General features: G+C 37.0%; 1 long non-coding RNA gene across 13 annotated transcripts in view, besides 2 other annotated features; it reads left to right on the forward strand.

The window, feature by feature from the left end:
* Positions 1-17717, forward strand: part of LOC105370461 (uncharacterized) — a 433650-nt gene that overhangs the window by 202335 nt on the left and 213598 nt on the right. The window contains exon 1 of one of the 13 annotated variants that reach the window (XR_001750722.2): positions 11794-11888. The exons of the other annotated variants lie outside the window; for them this stretch is intronic. This is a non-coding gene — a long non-coding RNA (uncharacterized LOC105370461). Of the gene's footprint in view, positions 1-11793; positions 11889-17717 lie in introns of those variants that run through there. 13 annotated transcript variants of the gene reach the window in all.
* Positions 4189-4689: an enhancer, noted in NCBI's record as "H3K4me1 hESC enhancer chr14:40108076-40108576 (GRCh37/hg19 assembly coordinates)". NCBI's record gives its function as "activates a minimal SCP1, AML or CMV promoter by ChIP-STARR-seq in primed H9 embryonic stem cells {active_cell/tissue: H9 hESC(primed)}" and the evidence as "EXISTENCE:reporter gene assay evidence [ECO:0000049][PMID:30033119]".
* Positions 4690-5190: an enhancer, noted in NCBI's record as "H3K4me1 hESC enhancer chr14:40108577-40109077 (GRCh37/hg19 assembly coordinates)". NCBI's record gives its function as "activates a minimal SCP1, AML or CMV promoter by ChIP-STARR-seq in primed H9 embryonic stem cells {active_cell/tissue: H9 hESC(primed)}" and the evidence as "EXISTENCE:reporter gene assay evidence [ECO:0000049][PMID:30033119]".

Consider the following 17717-nt stretch of genomic DNA (forward strand, 5'->3'; position numbering starts at 1 on the left):
AAGTCTTTAATCCATCTTGAATTAATTTTTGTATAAGGTATAAGGAAGGGATCCAGTTTCAGCTTTCTACATATGGCTAGCCAGTTTTGCCAGCACCATTTATTAAATAGGGAATCCTTTCCCCATTTCTTGTTTTTGTCAGGTGTGTCAAGGTCAGATAGTTGTAGATATGCATTATTTCTGAGTGCTCTGTTCTGTTCCATTGGTCTATATCTCTGTTTTGGTACCAGTACCATGCTGTTTTGGTTACTGTAGCCTTGTAGTATAGTTTGAAGTCAGGTAGCATGATGCCTCCAGCTTTATTCTTTTGGCTTAGGATTGACTTGGCAATGTGGGCTCTTTTTTGGTTCCATATGAACTTTAAAGTAGATTTTCCAATTCTGTGAAGAAAGTCATTGGTAGCTTGATGGGGATGGCATTGAATCTATAAATTACCTTGGGCAGTATGGCCATTTTCACGATATTGATTCTTCCTACCCATGAGCATGGAATGTTCTTTCATTTGTTTGTATCCTTTTTTATTTCATTGAGCAGTGGTTTGTAATTCTCCTTGAAGAGGTCCTTCTCGTCTCTTGTAAGTTGGATTCCTAAGTATTTTATTGTCTTTGAAGCAATTGTGAATGGAAGTTCACTCATGATTTGGCTCTCTGTTTGTCTGTTATTGGTGTATAAGAATGCTTGTGATTTTTGCACATCGATTTTGTATCCTGAGACTTTGCTGAAGTTGCTTATCAGCTTAAGGAGATTTTGGGCTGAGACAATGGGGATTTCTAGATATACAATCATGTCATCTGCAAACAGGGACAATTTGACTTCCTCTTTTCCTAATTGAATACCCTTTATTTCCTTCTCCTGCCTGATTGCCCTGGCCAGAACTTCCAACACTATGTTGAATAGGTGAGAGAGGGCATCCCTGTCTTGTGCCAGTTTTCAAAGGGAATGCTTCCAGTTTTTGCCCATTCAGTATGATACTGGCTGTGGGTTTGTCATAGATAGCTCTTATTATTTTGAGATACGTCCCATCAATACCTAATTTATTGAGAGTTTTTAGCATGAAGGTTGTTGAATTTTGTCAAAGGCCTTTTCTGCATCTATTGAGATAATCATGTGGTTTTTGTCTTTGGTTCTGTTTATATGCTGGATTATATTTATTGATTTGCATGTGTTGAACCAGCCTTGCATCCCAGGGATGAAGCCCACTTGGTTATGGTGGATAAGCTTTTTGCTGTGCTGCTGGATTTTGTTTGCCAGTATTTTATTGAGGATTTTTGCATCGATGTTCATCAGGGATATTGGTCTAAAATTATCTTTTTTTGTTGTGTCTCTGCCAGGCTTTGGTATCAGGATGATGCTGGCCTCATAGAATGAGTTAGGGAGGATTCCCTCTTTTTCTATGGATTGGAATAGTTTCAGAAGGAATGGTACCAGCTCCTCCTTGTAGCTCTGGTAGAATTTGGCTGTGAATCCATCTGGTCCTGGACTTTTTTTGATTGGTAAGCTGTTAATTATTGCCTCAAATTCAGAGCCTGTTATTGGTCTATTCAGAGATTCAGCTTCTTCCCAGTTTAGTCTTGGGAGGGTGTATGTGTCCAGGAATTTATTCATTTCTTCTAGATTTTCTTGTTTATTTGCATAGAGGTGTTTATAGTATTGTCTGATGGTAGTTTGTATTTCTGTGGGATCAGTGGTGATATCCCCTTTATCATTTTTTATTGTGTCTATTTGATTCTTCTCTCTTTTCTTCTTTATTAGTCTTGCTAGCGGTGTATCAATGTTGTTGATCTTTTCAAAAAACCAGCTCCTGGATTCACTGATTTTTTGAAGGGATTTTTGTGTCTCCCTTTCCTTCAGTTCTGCTCTGATCTTAGTTATTTCTTGCCTTCTGCTAGCTTTTGAATGTGTTTGCTCTTGCTTCTCTAGTTCTTTGAATTGTGATGTTAGGGTGTCAATTTTAGACCTTTCCTGCTTTCTCTTCTGGATATTTAGTGCTATAAATTTCCCTCTACACACTGCTTTGAATGTGTCCCAGAGATTCTGGTATGTTGTGTTTTGTTGTCATTGGTTTCAAAGAACATCTTTATTTCTGCCTTCATTTCATTCGTACCCAGTAGTCATTCAGGAGCAGGTTGTTCAGTTTCCATGTAGTTGAGCGGTTTTGAGTGAGTTCCTTAATCCTGAGTTCTAGTTTGATTGCACTGTGGTCTGAGAGACGGTTTGTTATAATTTCTGTTCTTTTACCTTTGCTGAGGAGTGCTTTACTTCCAACTGTGTGGTCAATTTTGGAATAGGTGTGGTGTGGTGCTGAAAAGAATGTATATTCTGTTGATTTGGTGTGGAGAATTCTGTAGATGTCTATTAGGTCCACTTGGTGCAGAGCTGAGTTCAATTCCTGGATATCCTTGTTAAGTCTCTGTCTTGTTGATCTGTCTAATGTTGACAGTCGGGTGTTAAAGTCTCCCATTATTATTGTGTGGGAGTCTAAGTCCCTTTGTAGGTCTCTAAGGACTTGCTTTATCAATCTGGATGCTCCTGTGTTGGGTGCATATATATTTAGGATAGTTAGCTGTCCTTGTTGAATTGATCCTTTTACCATTATGTAATGGCCTTGTTTGTCTCCTTTGATCTTTGTTGGTTTAAAATCTGTTTTATCCAAGACTAGGATTGCTGCCTCTGCCTTTTTTTGTTTTCCATTTGCTTGGTAGATCTTCCTCCATCCTTTTATTTTGAGCCTATGTGTGTCTCTGCACATGAGATGGGTTTCCTGAATACAGCACACTGATGGGTCTTGACTCTTTATCCAATTTGCCAGTCTGTGTCTTTTAATTGGAGCATTTACCCATTTACATTTAAGGTTAATATTGTTATGTGTGAATTTGATCCATGTCATTATGATGTTAGCTGGTTATTTTGCTCGTTAGTTGATGCAGTTTCTTCCTAGCCTCGATGGTCATTACAGTTAGGCATGTTTTTGCAGTGGCTGGTACCAGTTGCTCCTTTCCATGTGTAGTGCTTCCTTCAGGAGCTCTTTTAGGGCACGCCTGGTGGTGACAAAATCTCTCAGCATTTGCTTGTCTGTAAAGTATTTTATTTCTCCTTCACTTATGAAGCTCAGTTTGGCTGGATATGAAATTCTGGGTTGAAAATTCTTTTCTTTAAGAATGTTGAATATTGGCCCCCACTTGCTTGTAGAGTTTCTGCTGAGAGATCCGCTGTTAGTCTGATGGGCTTCCCTTTTTGGGTAACCCGACCTTTTTCTCTGGCTGCCCTTAACATTTTTTCCTTCATTTCAACTTTGGTGAATCTGACAATTATGTGTCTTGGAGTTGCTCTTCTCGAGGAGTATCTTTGTGGCATTCTCTGTATTTCCTGAATCTGAATATTGGCCTGCCTTGCTAGATTGGGGAAGTTCTCCTGGATAATATCCTGCAGAGTGTTTTCCACTTGGTTCCATTCTCCCTGTCACTTTCAGGTACACCGATCAGACGTAGATTTGGTCTTTTTACATAGTCCCATATTTCTTGGAGGCTTTGTTCATTTCTTTTTATTCTTTTTTCTCTAAACTTCTCTTCTCACTTCGTTTCATTCGTTTGATCTTCCATCCCTGATACCCTTTCTTCCAGTTGACTGAATTGGCTGCTGAGGCTTGTGCATTCGTCACGTAGTTCTCGTGCCATGGTTTTCAGCTCCATCAGGTCCTTTAAGGACTTCTCTGCACTGGTAATTCTAGTTAGCCATTTGTCTAATTTGTTTTTAAGGTTTTTAACTTCTTTGCCATGGGTTTGAACTTCCTCCTTTAGCTTGGAGTAGTTTGATCGTCTGAAGCCTTCTTTTCTCAACTTGTCAAAGTCATTCTCTGTCCAGCTTTGTTCCATTGCTGGTGAAGAGCTGTGTTCCTTTGGAAGAGGAGAGGCACTCTGATTTTTAGAGTTTCCAGTTTTTCTGCTCTGTTTTTTTCCCCATCTTTGTGGTTTTATCTACCTTTGGTCTTTGATGATGGTGATTTACAGATGGGTTTTTGGTGTGTATGTCCTTTCTGGTTGTTAGTTTTCCTTCTAACAGTCAGGACCCTCAGCTGCAGGTCTGTTGGAGTTTGCTGGAATTCCACTCCAGACCCTGTTTGCCTGGGTATCAGCAGCGGAGGCTGCAGAACAGTAGATGTTGGTGAACAGCAAATGTTGCTGCCTGATTGTTCCTCTGGAAGTTTTGTCTCAGAGGAGTACCCTCTGAGGGTACTGTGAGGTGTCAGTCTGCCCCTACTTGGGGGTGCCTCCCAGTTAGGCTCTTTGGGGTCAGGGACCCATTTGAGGAGGCAGTCTGTCCATTCTCAGATCTCCAGCTGTGTGCTGGGAGAACCACTACTGTCTTCCAAGCTGTCAGACAGGGACGTTTAAGTCTGCAGAGGTTTCTGCTGCCTTTTGTTTGGCTATGCCCTGCCCCCAGAGGTGGAGTCTGCGGAGGCAGGCAGGCCTCCTTGAGCTGCATTGGGCTCCACCCAGTTCGAGCTTCCTGGCTGCTTTGTTTACCTACTCAAGCCTCGGCAATGGCAGGCGCCCCTCCCCCAGCCTCACTGCCGACTTGCAGTTAGATCTCAGACTGCTGTTCTAGCAATGAGCGAGGCTCCGTGGGCCTAGGACCCTCCGAGCCAGGTGTGGGATATACTCTTCTGGTGTGCCGTTTGCTAAGACTGTTGGAAAAGTGCGGTATTAGGGTGGGAGTGACCCGATTTTCCAGGTGTCGTCTGTCACCCCTTTCTTTGACTAGGAAAGGGAATTCCCTGACCACTTGTGCTTCCCAGGTGAGGCGATGCCTCACCCTGCTTCAGCTCGCGCTCGGTGCACTGCACCCACTGTCCTGCACCCCCTGTCTGACACTCCCCAGTGAGATGAACCTGGTACCTCAGTTGGAAATGCAGAAATCACCCGTCTTCTGCGTCGCTCACACTGGGAGCTGTAGACTGGAGCTATTCCTATTCGGCCATCTTAGCTCCACCCCCCGAAAATCTTTGATTTAGACAAAGTCAACTCATCTCTTAATCCTATAACAATTTGAGCATACTTTTATTGCTATACTTTCCTTGTCACATTATAATGTATTACATGTGTTCAAGATAGATCATGAACTCCTATAGAAGCTAACTTTTTATCACTGTATCTCCAGCATCTGAGTCCACCTACCTTGTTTGAAGTGCTTAAAAATGTTTATTTTGTTGAACCACTATATACTTATTGTATTTAAAATTGTTAACTTATATGTTTTCTGTCCAGAAATGTAATCTGACCATGTGGCAACTCTGCAGTCACTCAGGACCTATTCTGGCTATTGTAACTCTGTTTATTTTTGCTTTCTACATTTTGAGGCTATTAGATGAATTACCTATAAACTTGGAATTCTTAAATCTTATAAGTAAATAAAAACTTTACCACTGTGTAATTATTCCATCTCTAATGATACTTTTTGTCCTAAAGTCTATCACTAACCTCACTTTCCTTTTGCTTATATGTGCCTGAGGCACAAAGGTGATTTTTTTTTTTTTAATATTGAATCCATCTCTTTTTTTTTTTACATGGCAAATCTAAACTACTTACCCCATTATGACCAATGAAATATCTGAACTTGTGGTATTTATCCACATTTTGCTCTGTTTTAAATATTTTAGTTGTTTTTCTCCTTTTTTATTGAATGCATTTTTTATTTGTTAATTTATTTTCTTCTTATTTTTTCCCTCAATCTGTGTGAAAACTCTTGAAATTTTACCATACATGCTTAACAAAATCTAAATATCTTAACCTTTTCTCCAAATGATAGAAAGGCTTTAGAACAATTTAATTCTGATCACCTACCTTCCAAATATTATGTCATTGATGTCCTGTCCTGTATTTTAGTTTGATCCTTTAATTATTATGGGAATTAAAGTAAATTAAATGAATTACTATAGTAATATTATAGTCATTTTTATAGTAATCCTAAGAACCTACTGAAACTGATGGTAGTATTGCCTCATTTTAAAGATGAAGAGATTGAGGTGCAGGGACCTAAGTGTTCTTGTCCCAGATCACATGGTACAAGACTTGGCAGAGCCAAGACCTGAGCCCAGACTTAGTGCCTCCAAAGGCTATGCTCCTTCTATTATTCCAAACTGCCCAAGGAATGAACATTAGCCAGTATGGGCCCTCTTCAGTCCCCATCCATGGGTCTCACATTTCTTTTTAGACTGGCTAATATAGGAAAAAAAATTTCATCCATTAGTATTTTATAATAAATGTCCTTTTAATTTGAATATAAGAATTTTTTCCTTCTGTGTTTAGGAAAGTGCTTTGAATCAGTGGATTTATAATGTTTTTGACATCTAATAATGGATGGAAAAAATGGGTGTGACATCATTTCTACCACAGCAACAAGAGCAAAGATTGTATATTTTGAAGATTCCATGCTACTTCAGTCTATTCAAAATTTCTGGGGAAATATTTTGATATACTTAAATATTTTTCATTTAAACATTTCATTATACTTTAAAATATTTCGTATTAAAAATAACTCAAATTATATTTAATTGTTTGCTGATAAAGCTGTTGAAGAAACTGAAATTATATTAAGTAGTTTTAATGTTTTTTGGCTTTGTGTTTTTCTTTTGATTTAAAGAGAGTTGTTACAGAAGAAACCTGACAATAATAGATGATATTGAGGCATATATAACCTCTTGGTTTTCTTTTCTGAAGATCTTTGAGGTGGTTTCTGGCACAGGAAGTTAATAGATAACTCTGTACCAGGAAGCAGTAGTGCACACTTGCTTTCTTTTAAGTTATTTTAAAGACAGTGCTTGTTGTTTACTTGACTTTTTGAAAATACAATATATAGAATGAGGAATCCTTGAGGGATGCCATATGAAGATATTCACTGATATTTTATAAAAGTTTTGAAAGTTCGGGGTTTGATTCTATTTCTTCTCAAGTCTAGAGTTTAAAAGTAATTTAAGAACGAAACAAATTAGAGACAGGGAACTTTTAGTTTGTGGGCTCACCGATAACATTTTGAAAAACTCTTTCTATTAGGCACTGCAGTTTTTCATTAGATTTCAATAGCCCCTTTTCTCTTTCCCTCTGACACGTTGCAAGTAACAAATCTGTACAATTGGAACATAACACTTTACTGTGGCTTAGCATTAATTGTCTTTCTTAGCACAGAAAAATAGAATTTAAAACAATGCTTTGAAGAATATTAACATGAAGTGCAGTCTTTTCACTTTTCAGTCATGCAGAGAAGTGATTTTGAAGTGACATTAACTTTCAAATAAAATTCTGTTGAGAAATCTTATAATGCCCACCCCACCCCACCCCCCCTTTTTTTTTTGGTCTTTGGAAGACTTCCTAGCTATAATTTTTGAAATTCTTTAGGTGCATTCATATTTTTAGATTGCTTCCCATAAGTCAAAATAACTTGGTACTATAGAGCTTTAAAGTTTAATACTAATGGTTTTAAATAATACTCTTTTTGAAAACCATGTTGGAGATTTCTATTAACTTTTATCATTATATGCCTTGGAGACGTCTCTTAAAGAGACTTTCATAAAGCCACAGCTTCTCTAATCGATTTAAATCTCTTGCATCTGTGAATTTCATATCTGATTGCAGTTTTAACTCAATTCCAAGTTATATCTAAAAACCCTTTTTCATTTTGAGAGAAGTTTGTTGTTTGTAATTAATTTTTAAAAGTAAGTTTGAGTAAATTTGAAGTAATTTTAGTAAAGTGAATAAAAGTAAATTTGAGTAATTTTAAATGAGCCAAATAGAGTGTTGGGAAAACTTTTGTATGCATATTTTCCCCTGCTTTTGCATGTAGGACTCCAGAAAGTCAAAACATCAAGGAATATTTGCCATTTCTTTAGGAATCTCATGACTTTCCCTTTTTAGAACTTCTGTCAACATGTAAGTGGATGGTGCATTAATTTAATCTAAGATCACTGGTAGATCTTACTAATATTTCATCTACACTACTCAAAATAACAACGGTTTTTTATTTCATGTGATTCTAGGAGGCTTCTGAGTGGTTCTTCTGCTGCATGTTGTGTTGGCTGGGGTTCCTTAGGTAGGTTTGTTCACTTGGCAGATGGTCTAGCATGCAAGATCATCTGCCCCTGTCTCATGTCTGGGACTGCAGTGTTGACTATTGGTTGGGGTAACTCAGTTATCCTCCATGTGGCCTTTCTCTTTTGGTAGTATTTTTTAAGAGCAAAGCTGCAAGCTAGTACAGCATCATTTTTTACCATATTTTATTGGTCAAAGCAAGTTACCCAGTTTCAAGGTGATGGAAATCGACCCTACCTCTTGATGAGAGAGACAGCAAGTGCAGTTCTAGCATATTCTAGAGACACATCCTTCATGAGATCTGTGATTTGTAATTCTGGGGGTGGGGGCAATGGTTTCTTAGATATGATAGCAGAAGCACAAGCCATGAAAAAAGGTATATTGGATTTCATCAAATTTAAAAACTTTTGTGCACTAAAGGATTCTATCAAGAGACTGAAAAGACAAACTACCAAATGGAAGAAAATATTTGCAAATCACATATATGATAAAAGACTTTCAATCTAATATATAAACATTTTTTACAACTTAACAAAAAGACAAATAACCAAATTAAAAAAAATGGGCAAAGGACTTGGTAGAGATTTTTCCAAAAAAGTTATACCAATGGCACATGAGCATGTGAAAAAATGCTCAACATCATAAGTCATTAGGAAAATGCACATCAAAAGCATAAGATACCACTTCACACCACACATTGCTAGTGTGAATGTAAGTGTGAATGTAAAACCATGTGGCTGCTTGGAAAACAGTTTCTCAGATGTTTAAAATGTTAAACATAGAATTACCATATGACTTCTAGGTATATATAACTGAAAGAACTGAAAACAGATGTAAAAAACTTGTACACAGATGTTCATAGAGGTACTATTCATAACAGTCAAAAGATGGAAACAGTCCAAATGTCCATCAACTGATGAATGGATAAATAAAATGGGTATCTTCTATGAGACAGAATATTATTCAGCCATGAAAAGGAATGAAGTACTGATACATGCTACAACATGGCTGAGCCTTGAAGACATTACGCCAAGTGAAAGAAGCCAGATACAAAAGGCCACGTATTGCATAGTTCCATTTACATGAGATATCCAGAATAGCCAAAATAGAGACAGAAAGCAGGTTAGTTAATTACCAGGGAGTGGCTGGGCACAGTGGCTCACACCTGTAATCCCAGAACTTTGGGAGGCCAAAGCAGGTGGATCGCTTGAGCCCAGAAGTTCAAGACCAGCCTGGGCCACGTGGCGAAACCCCGTCCCTATTAAAATACAAAAATTAGCTGGGCATGTTGGTGCATTCATGTAGTCCCAGCTGCTCGGGAGGTTGAGGCAGGAGAATTGCTTGAGCCCTGGAGATTGAGGCTGCAGTGAGCCAAGATTGTGCCACTGCACTCCAGCGTGGGTGACAGAGCAAGACCTTTTTTTTGTTAATGTGGAAAAAAAAAAGAAAAAAAATACCAGGGACTGAGGGAGAGGAGAAAATGAGGAATTACTGCTTAATGGGTATGAGATTTCTTTTTGCAGTGATGAAAATGTTCTGGAACTAGAGATAGTAGTAATGATTGTCTGACATTGTGGTATTACTAAATGCCAGTCAGTTGTACACTTTGGAATGGTTGAAATGGTGACTTTTATGTTCATGTTTTTACCACAATAAAATAAAGCAATTGGGAAATTGGACTTGCTTGGTCTTGTGCCTCAACCATGAGAACATACTCAGGCTAGTCAGTGGGATGTTAAAAAAAAAGTGGAGCTAAATTGAGTCTCCTCATCTGTACCAGCCAAAGCTATTCTAAGTTGCCAGACGGTCATCTAACACCAAAATATATGAAAGTGTTGGGCAAAGATCAGCAGAACCATTTGGTCTACTCCTAGGTGACTCTAAATGTGTTAGCATTATATGCTTATCATTTCATGCTGCTGAAATTGTGTAATTTGTTTTATTGCATTATTGTGACAATATGACTGATACAATGTCTAATACCATTACTCATTAAAATAAATCAGGGCTTCTCAGAGAAATAGATGATTTGAAGACTCGGGTAAAGAAGGTGAAAGGTAAGTGTTCAACATCTCATATGCAGGGAATCTTTCAAGGAATAATGAGGTTGACTTAAAAGGGCACAAAGTTCTGGAGTTGGATAGTAGTCATGGCAGCACATCAGCATGAATGTACTTAATGCCACTTAATTGTACACTTACAAATGGTTAAAATGGCATTATTTTTGTTTGTTTTGAGACAGTCTTGCTCTGTCGCCCAGACTAGGGTGCAGTGGCGCGATCTTGGCTCGCTGCAACCTCTGCCTCCCAGGTTCAAGCTTTTCTGCCTCAGCCTCAGCTGGGATTACAGGCGTGTGTCACCGTGCCCAGCTAATTTTTATAGTTTTAGTAGAGATGGGGTTTCACCATGTTGGCCAGGTTGGTCTTCAACTCCTGACTTCAAGTCATCCGACCACTTCTGCCTCCCAAAGTGCTGGGATTTACAGGCATGAGCCACCCCACCTGGCCAAAATGGCAAATTTTATGTTATGTTATTTTACCACAATTTTAACAAAGGACACAGGAACCAGGTGAAAGGGATTCCTGCTGGTCAGTTATTTTAATATGAGCATTAAATTTGAGCCTCAAAAAATAATGATTGTACTATATTAAAACATATCAAATATGTGAAAATCTTGAGTCCATAATTATATTAGAAATAAAAAAAAGCAAGCTAAAGTGATTGGTGGTTACTAGAGGCTGGGAAGGATAAGGAGGAGGAGTGGGGATAAAGAGAGATTGATTAATGAGTACAAACATACAGTTAGATGGAAGAAATAAGACCTAGTATTAGATTCGTGGGATAACTGTAGTTAACAATAAACTATTATGCATTTCAAAATAGCTGGAAGAGAATAATTTGAATGTTCTTCACACAAAGAAAAGATAAATATTTACGGTGTTGGGTATCCTAATTACCCTGATTTGATCTTTACACATACGAATGTATCAAAATATCACATGTACCCTGAAAATATGTACATCTGTTATGCATCAGTATAAAAACCAAAGTGAGAAAAACATTCATTCATCACCAATCGAGGTGACTATTATGCCAACATAAATATTCAACCTTAAGGGATCACAACAATGCAGGATCCTGCATTAGATCTTTATTTAGTTAAGACGGGTGTAAATGCCATTTTTTGGGACAAATGGAGAATTTTTGGGGAAAACATATAACCTCATGGTAGAGATTGTTAATTGTCTTCAAATAGTCATTTTTTTTTCTTTTCTTCATTTAGAAATAGAACTCCTTGAGTTTTAGCAGCCATCAGACCTCTCAACTAGAGACTACATTTTCCAGTCGTCTTGTAGCTTGGGTTGGCTATGTCATTACTATAAATTTTGTAAAAATATGTTTTACATATAGCATTTCTTGTTATCCTTTGATTAATTTGGAAAGTAGAAAGCTAAATCTTAGTTATATATATGGTGTTCTACAGAACAATATGTTCCAAGTGTGTAGCTTTCTGATGAAGTGGCTTAATACAGGGTAACACCAACTAAGGTAACCACAGCGAGGAAGTTATGATATCTTTTAGATCAGCGTTTCAAACTGGGTTCTGTAGATGGCAGGACAAAAGAGGGTCTCTACAAATGTTTAATTTTAATTTGCTTTAAATTTGTTTTAATTCATTTATTCATTCTTTTTTTCAACTTTTAGATTCAGGGGTACATGTGCAGGTTTGTTACAAGAGTATAATGTGTGATGCTGAAGTTTGGAGTACAGTTGAACCCATCACCCAGCTAGTGAGCATGATACTGAGTAGGTAATTTTTAAGCCTTTGTCCCCCGCACCCTTCCCCCTCTTGTAGTCCTCACTGTCTATTGTTCCCATCTTTATGTCCATGTGTACCCAATGTTTAGCTCCCACTTATAAGAGAACAAGCAGTATTTGGCTTTCTGTTTCTACATTAGTTTGCTTAGGATAATGACCACCAGGTACATCCATGTGGCTGCAAAGGATCAGGTTTCATTCTTTTTCCGGCTGCATAGTACTCCATGGTGTATATGTACCACATGGTTTAAATATTTTTTAAACAATATTTTAAACCACTTTAAAAAAGCAACTGTTATAAAATATGTTACCGACATCTCTATTTTAGTGATGACAATTCTGAGGATGCAGTATGACAGCTGCTATTATTTGAGATTAATTTCTTGTGTGATTTAGGATTATTTTAATATTTGCCACAACAACAAAATACGAAGACAGATTGGATAGTAAGGCTGGTGTGGCCACAGCTGACAACTATAACCACTAATGTAAAGATTTGAGGAGTCCATCTGAACAACGTCATTTTCTTTAAATGTGAACTAAACTTATATTAATAAAACACTATTTTATGTATTAGAGTTGAGTGCAGAATTTTATTTGACAAGAGGGTTTATTACTAAACGAAATTTGAAATCTACTTAGATTTTCCCTGTAGAATAGCAGTTGTCTGCACTGGGTTTTGGACAGGAATCATCAGGCAGATAATTTCCCATTTAGATGGATAGCCAGTGTCTGATAAAAGGGCACTTTGCCGTTGACTGAAAGAAGATCAATATACTCTATACATGGAGCATGGACAGTGAAGTTGCTGGTCAGAGCCTAATTTATATTCAAAGGTTAGTGAAGGGCTACCCCACGTTGCTGCATTTGGGCACAGAAGTAAGGAAAACTTTTCTTATATTAACTCTGGATCTCCTCAGGTGCTAAACAGAGTCTTGTTTGAAGGCTGAGAGTTTTTTGTCTTAAAGATAGAAGAATATCCTTCCTTGAATATTTTTGAGGGCACAAATGGTTAAACACCTACATTTATCACTATAACCTTAACATTAATCAATAAATATCAGTTTCTTTGGATGAGATTGTGTCTTGATTATTCCTCTAAAACTATGTCTTTATAGAGAGCAGTTTTTACCATTATCTGGAAGCTTGTTAGGAATGTAGAATGTTAGGCACTACCCCAGACCTATTACATCTGAATCTGTGTTTTTAAAAGATCCCCAGGTGATTCATAAGCATATTACCTTTTGAGAAACACTTCATAGCAAAGGGAACTCTGAGGCAATTCATTTAATTAATTAGTTGAATAGAGATTTAAAAAATATTGTCGCCTTGGATGACCCAATTCACAGTTTGGGTTTAATTATCAATATTTAAATGTTTTCCGGTCAATATCTGCCTAATAATATGAGCTTTTCTATAGCTAGGAGCACAGTCTACTATAGAATTTGGTTATGGAAATTTCAGAATTTCAATGGGCTTTGTGTACCTTGCTCTGAATTGTACCTTGCTCTGAATTGTACCTTTCTCTGAATTGTGTGTGGTATTGAAACACCTGCAACTGGAATGTCAGGCAGTATTCTTGTCTGTTGTATTAACCATGACAACCCATCTTTTATGGTGTTCAGATTGTCAGTAATTTTGAACAATTAATAACTGATATCTTGTATCATTAAAACTGAAAGTTTTCAAAATATTTTAACATGCATTATCTTATTTAGACTTCACTGTAACTCTGTGTGGTAGTTTTTTAAAATCCCCATTATAGAAGTAAAGAATCTGTCCAAGGATGATGGATTATACTGATCACAGAGAGTAAATGGTAGAGGGCCTGGGCTTGAATTCAGGTTACCTGACTTCTAATTTAATACTTTCTTCACCACACAATTTTTCTTCTCTTCTTGTGGATTTTGTTTATCTCGGAATTTTCTTAAATACCATGTTATCCAGTATACAGGAGGCAATGGCATATAACTCAAAGAAATTGATCTTTTAATATAAACTGTATCTGTGTTCTGCCCTAACTCGAGCCAAGAAGAAAGCTTTACTAAGTTTAAAGTTGCCTGTGCTCAATTCAATTATAATCTGCCCTTAAACTTAATAATTCTAGGATCTTAAAGCAAAATATACAACCTTTTCTTTATGATTTTTGTTTATAGATTCCTACTTGAAGAAGAATGAGGTAGCACTCATTTCAGATTTATTATCATTTTAAACAAGAAGCTTCCTCCTAGTTACAGGGATATTCATGAAAATATTATAAATAATGGCTATTTGTAGCACTTGAAGGGCTTTATTAATAAGTTATGTCAAGCCATCTAATGCATTCTCCTCGGAGTTATTATTCACCAACACTTTATAGATTAGATATCTGTTTTTATATTGCTTTTGAAATGTGGTAGGATTTTTATATTCAGGAAAATATTCTTTTGTTTCTCTGTTCAGTTTATTTGACGGTATGATTTACTCAGTTTAGGTATCATTTCCATGTAAAATTTACACATTGGAATTCGTAGTTATTATAAAATAATTGTCTCTGTGGCTTCAAAACTGCCCTTTTGATTTCTTGGATTACTCATTTACTTTCTTCTTATTGTAAACAATCACATATATTATTTGTATCTGGCTAATTGTTTATCATAACTTGATTTTGGTTCTTCAACTACGGTATTTGTTTGCAGCTCCAGAAAATATATACACTATATTCTAAGTGTCTAAGACTATTTTTCTTGGGATAATTAACTTGTCTTGATTAGTTATAAAATAAGTGGACTTCAAATTTAGGATATTTCACTCTACCTTTGCATCCTCTCTTGATTTGCCTTCAGGATATCGCTAGTGGAATGTCCTGCTCCCAACTGAGGTTTTGTGGCTTGAAAATAAGGTTCAGTTTGTCTTCCTTACCAAATAGGCACCCTTTCTGACTACCCAGACTCACCATCTTTACAAGATCTCAGGGCTTCAGCTTTGCTGTGATTTGGTGCTCCTTTCCCCCTTTGCATCCTGCATTTAGTTTGTGGCCAGCTTTGGTTCTGGAGGCTGAATTCTGTCTATGCCCTTTGTCCCCAAATTATATGTTGAATTCGTAACTCCCTCTACCTCAGAATGTGACTGTATTTTGAGAACCCATCTTTAAAGAGGCAACTGAGTTTAAATGAGACCATCAGGGTGGGCACTAATCCAATATGACTGGTGTCCTAATGAGAAGAGGAAATGAGGACACAGACGTACACAGAGGGAAGACCATGTGAAGATGTTCTTCTAGACAGGAGAAGATGGCCATCGATAAGCCAAGGAGACAAGCCCTCAGGAAAAACTAATGTAGCTGATATCTTGATCTTGGACTTCTAGCCTCCAAAACTAGAGGAAATACATTTCTGCTGTTTAAGCTGCCCAGGCTGTGATGCTATGTCATGGGAGCTGTAGCAGACTAGTACACTTGGCAGTTCTCTGTAGGGTCTCTTGAATTTGGACCAGCTGAAGAGTATATTTTGATTATTTATTATCACTTTATTTATAGAGTATCTAAAACAGCACTATATTTTACCTACTTTGGCCTAATTGAGAGATCAGTTATTTTGGGAAAAAAAATTATTTGTTCTGTGATTCTCAATTTAGAGTAACCTCCTTGAGGAACTCATTCTTTAGGGTCCTTTGCACTAAATGCTTGTCCCAATTACAGCACTTTATCACACTTATCACACTAATTACAATTGTATATTTTATCACTTCTCTGTCCTACCCACTAGCTTGTAAATGCCTAAGGTCAGAGATTGATTTTTAAACATTATTCTATTCATACCACTTAGCATAGTGCCTGACACGAAGAATGTGCTCAATAAATATTTATGAATAAATTACTCTGTATTAGTATCAGTCAGGATGCTGAGATTTTTGCAGTAACAATCTCCAAGTATCAATGTCTTAAAACATCAAAAATTTCTTTCTTGCTTATGATACATATCATTGTGGTTGTGCTGGAGGCTCTCTCTGTGTTATCCTCACTGCTGGGTCTAGGTTCTGGGAGCAGCCCACCACTTAGGGTATTGCCTGTCACTGTGGCAGAGGAAAAAGGAGAGCATGGTGAGTCTTGTAGCAGCTCATAAGTCTTCGGCACATATCATTTCTGGTCATATATCCTTGATCAGAGCAATTCACATAGCCACATATGATGCCATTGAGGGGAGGGAATTGCCATCCTATCATTGCCAGGAGTAGAGAAAAGCCAGAGATATTTGTGAACAGCATTAGTGACTGTCAAAACTCCCATACATGGCAAATTGTTTCATTTATGATTTGCTCTTTTAATTTGCTTTTTTTTTTTTTTTTGATACAGAGTCTCACTCTGTCACCTAGGCTGGAGTGCAGTGGCACAGTCTTGGCTCACTGCAACCTCTGCCTCCCGTGTTTAAGGGATTCTTGTGCCTTAACCTCATAAATATATTAGTGTCTGTGGTATTCATGGATTTAATCTCTGGTTGGCATAGAAGTGCATGTGGGTTATTACTACGTAACTGCTTCATTATTTAATATAAAGTTCTTACAAGAGAGCCAACTATGTGTGATCTCAAATTACTGTTTTTTTTTCTGTCAAAACACAGCTTCTCCCAATATAGATGACCCTGATGCTGTTGAGAAACCTGAAAATATTATACCCTTTCTAAGCAAGCCAGGATAATATGAATCTATAGTGAATCATTCACCATTATCAAGTGGGATTTATTCCTGGGATGCACAAGGATGGTTCAACATAAGCAAATCAAGAACTGTGATATATCACATTAACAGAATGAAGGACAAAACTGTATGATCATCTCAATAGATGCAGAAAAAGCATTTGACAAAATTCAACATCCTTTTATGATTAAAGCTCTCAAAAAAATTAGGCACAGAAAGAATGCACCTCAACACATAATAAAGGCCATATATAAAAAGCCCATACTAAGATCATACTCAGTAGTGAAGAGTTGAAAGCTTTCTCTCTAATATCAGAAATAATATGAGGATGTTCACTCAAACAATTTCTATTCAATATAGTCCTTGTCCAGAGCAATTACGCAAGAAAAAGAAAAGGCATCCAAATAGGAAAGGGAGAAGTGAAATTGTTTGTTAGCTTATGACGTGATCTTATGCATAGAAAACCCTGAAGACTCCACCAAAAACTGTTGTAACTGATAAACAAATTCAGTAAAGTCTCAGGGTACAAAATCAATACACAAAATTCAATAGTATTTCTTTAGTAACAACGAGCTATCTGAAAAGGAAATTAAGAAATCAGTCCCATACACAGTAGCATAAAAAAAAAAACAATAAATTTAATCAAGCAGGTGAAAGATCTGTGTACTAAAAACTATAAAACATTAAGGAATTAAAAGTTATACAAATAAATAGAGAAATATTCTGTGTTTATGGGTGGGAAGAATTAATATTATTAAAATGCTCACACCACTGAAAGTGATCTACAGAGTTAATGTAATGCCTGTCAAAACTGCAATGTCATTTTTCACAGATCTAGAAAAATAATCTTAAAGTATATATGGAACCACAAAAAACCCTGAGTAGCCAAAGCAGTTTTGAGCAAAAAACCAAAACTAGATGCATCACACTACCTGACATCAAAACCTATTACAAAGCTATAGTTATCAAAGCAGCATGATATTGGAATAAAAAAAGACACATCCACCAATGAGCAGAATAGAAAGCCTAGAAATAAACTAATGCATTTACAGTCAATTGATTTTCAACAATGGTGCCAAGAATACACATGGAGAAAGGACAGTCTCTGCAATAAATTGTGGTGGAAACATTGGATATCCACAT

This window comes from Homo sapiens, chromosome 14, assembly GCF_000001405.40.
Source record: "Homo sapiens chromosome 14, GRCh38.p14 Primary Assembly".
NCBI lineage: Eukaryota > Metazoa > Chordata > Mammalia > Primates > Hominidae > Homo > Homo sapiens.